The sequence below is a fragment of the Homo sapiens genome, chromosome 22 (genome assembly GCF_000001405.40).
Source record: "Homo sapiens chromosome 22, GRCh38.p14 Primary Assembly".
Lineage (NCBI taxonomy): Eukaryota > Metazoa > Chordata > Mammalia > Primates > Hominidae > Homo > Homo sapiens.
The window spans coordinates 35,042,951-35,044,315 of record NC_000022.11 but is presented as its reverse complement, the minus strand read 5'-3'; the positions used below and the strand labels follow the sequence as shown (position 1 = coordinate 35,044,315).

The window sequence follows — 1,365 nt, the reverse complement described above, 5'->3', positions numbered from 1 at the left end:
GGAGGAAGGGGCACTTGCACAGTCTCTGAGATGAGGGGATGGAGAATGTGCTGTGGAGATGGGGATGTCAACCTAGGGGAAAGCCTCACCTGGAGAAGAGCTGCCATGAATTTGCTGGGGTTGGAGGGAGGCTGAATATTCTTGCCATGGACTCTGGACTCTGGGCCTGGCCACTGGGAGGGCCAAACCTGGCCCATCCTCTTGTGCCTGCTCTCAACTGACCTACGTCCAGCTTTTCATGACCTAATAGAGGTGGGGATAAAACAGTGTTTCCCTCTCAGCTGTCAAGAGCTTGAGATGAGATGAGGCCACTGAACTTCACAGGTGTGCAGTGAATGGCGACTTGGTGACTTGCATGATAGACCTCATCATGGTTGCAAACAGAACCCTGCAATTGGAGCAGCTCTTTGTTTGATGAAGGGAAAGAGGAACAGGGAAGGCGAGCACAGGCAGGAGCTCTGAGGGACATGGGCTGAGGAGCTGAGTGGGCGGGTCTATCATTGCCACGAAGGGGTGGTCAGCTAGTGCGGGGTCACCAGCAGAGGGACAGACCAGAGAATAGGTAGCATGACAGAGCTTCTCTAGGAGGTTTTCTCTATAGAGGGCAGTGCAACCCATCTCTCACTCTGGAAAGGTCTGCTGGTGCTGCTAGAACTTTCTGGAAATTGCAGTATTTACACAGTGGATTTTTTTAGTAGAAAAGGCCTGGAGAGCCCATTAACCCAGATGGGGAACTGCAGCCCATGAGGAGAGGCCATTTCCCCAAGCCCACAAGGTCAGTTTGTGGAAAAGCCAAGACCTGTGGCAACTGGGTCTCTTGATTACTGATTTTGCAGCATAGAATATTCCAGAGCTGGGGGACCCCTTGTGGAGGCTGATGGCAGCGTCAACCAGTGGCTAAGGCTCCAGGCTGCCAAGGTCAGACCATCTCAGCTTCACCTCTTCATTCTGCTGCTTGCTGTGAGCTTTGTCTGGTTACTTCTTGGGACTCAGTTTCCCTCATGTCTTCAGTGCGACTAACAATGCCTATGTCACAGGCCTGCTGTGAGCATTAAATGAGATCATATGAGGCCAGCACAGTGGATGCTGTGGCCGTTTCCATGCGCCCTTGCCTTGGGTTGGGGCAACTGATCGGGCTCCAGGCCTCAGCCCAGATTGACCTAAACCAGGAACCTATGAATGATCCCTGCCTCCTTTTCCTCACATCCCACACCCACTCCATCAGCAAATCCTGCTGGTTAGAACTTTAGGTATATCCTGAATCCCCCCACTTCCCACACCACCTTGGCGGCCCCTGGAGTGAGCCAGGTGCATTCCTCCTGGACAACCACACTTAGGCTCTCTGCCTTCTTCTTTCTCTTCAGT

The 1,365-nt window shown here is 52.8% G+C and overlaps 1 annotated feature.

The window, feature by feature from the left end:
- Positions 926-1,155: an enhancer, noted in NCBI's record as "active region_18889". NCBI's record gives its function as "activates an Ori minimal core promoter by ATAC-STARR-seq in GM12878 lymphoblastoid cells {active_cell/tissue: GM12878}" and the evidence as "EXISTENCE:reporter gene assay evidence [ECO:0000049][PMID:35858748]".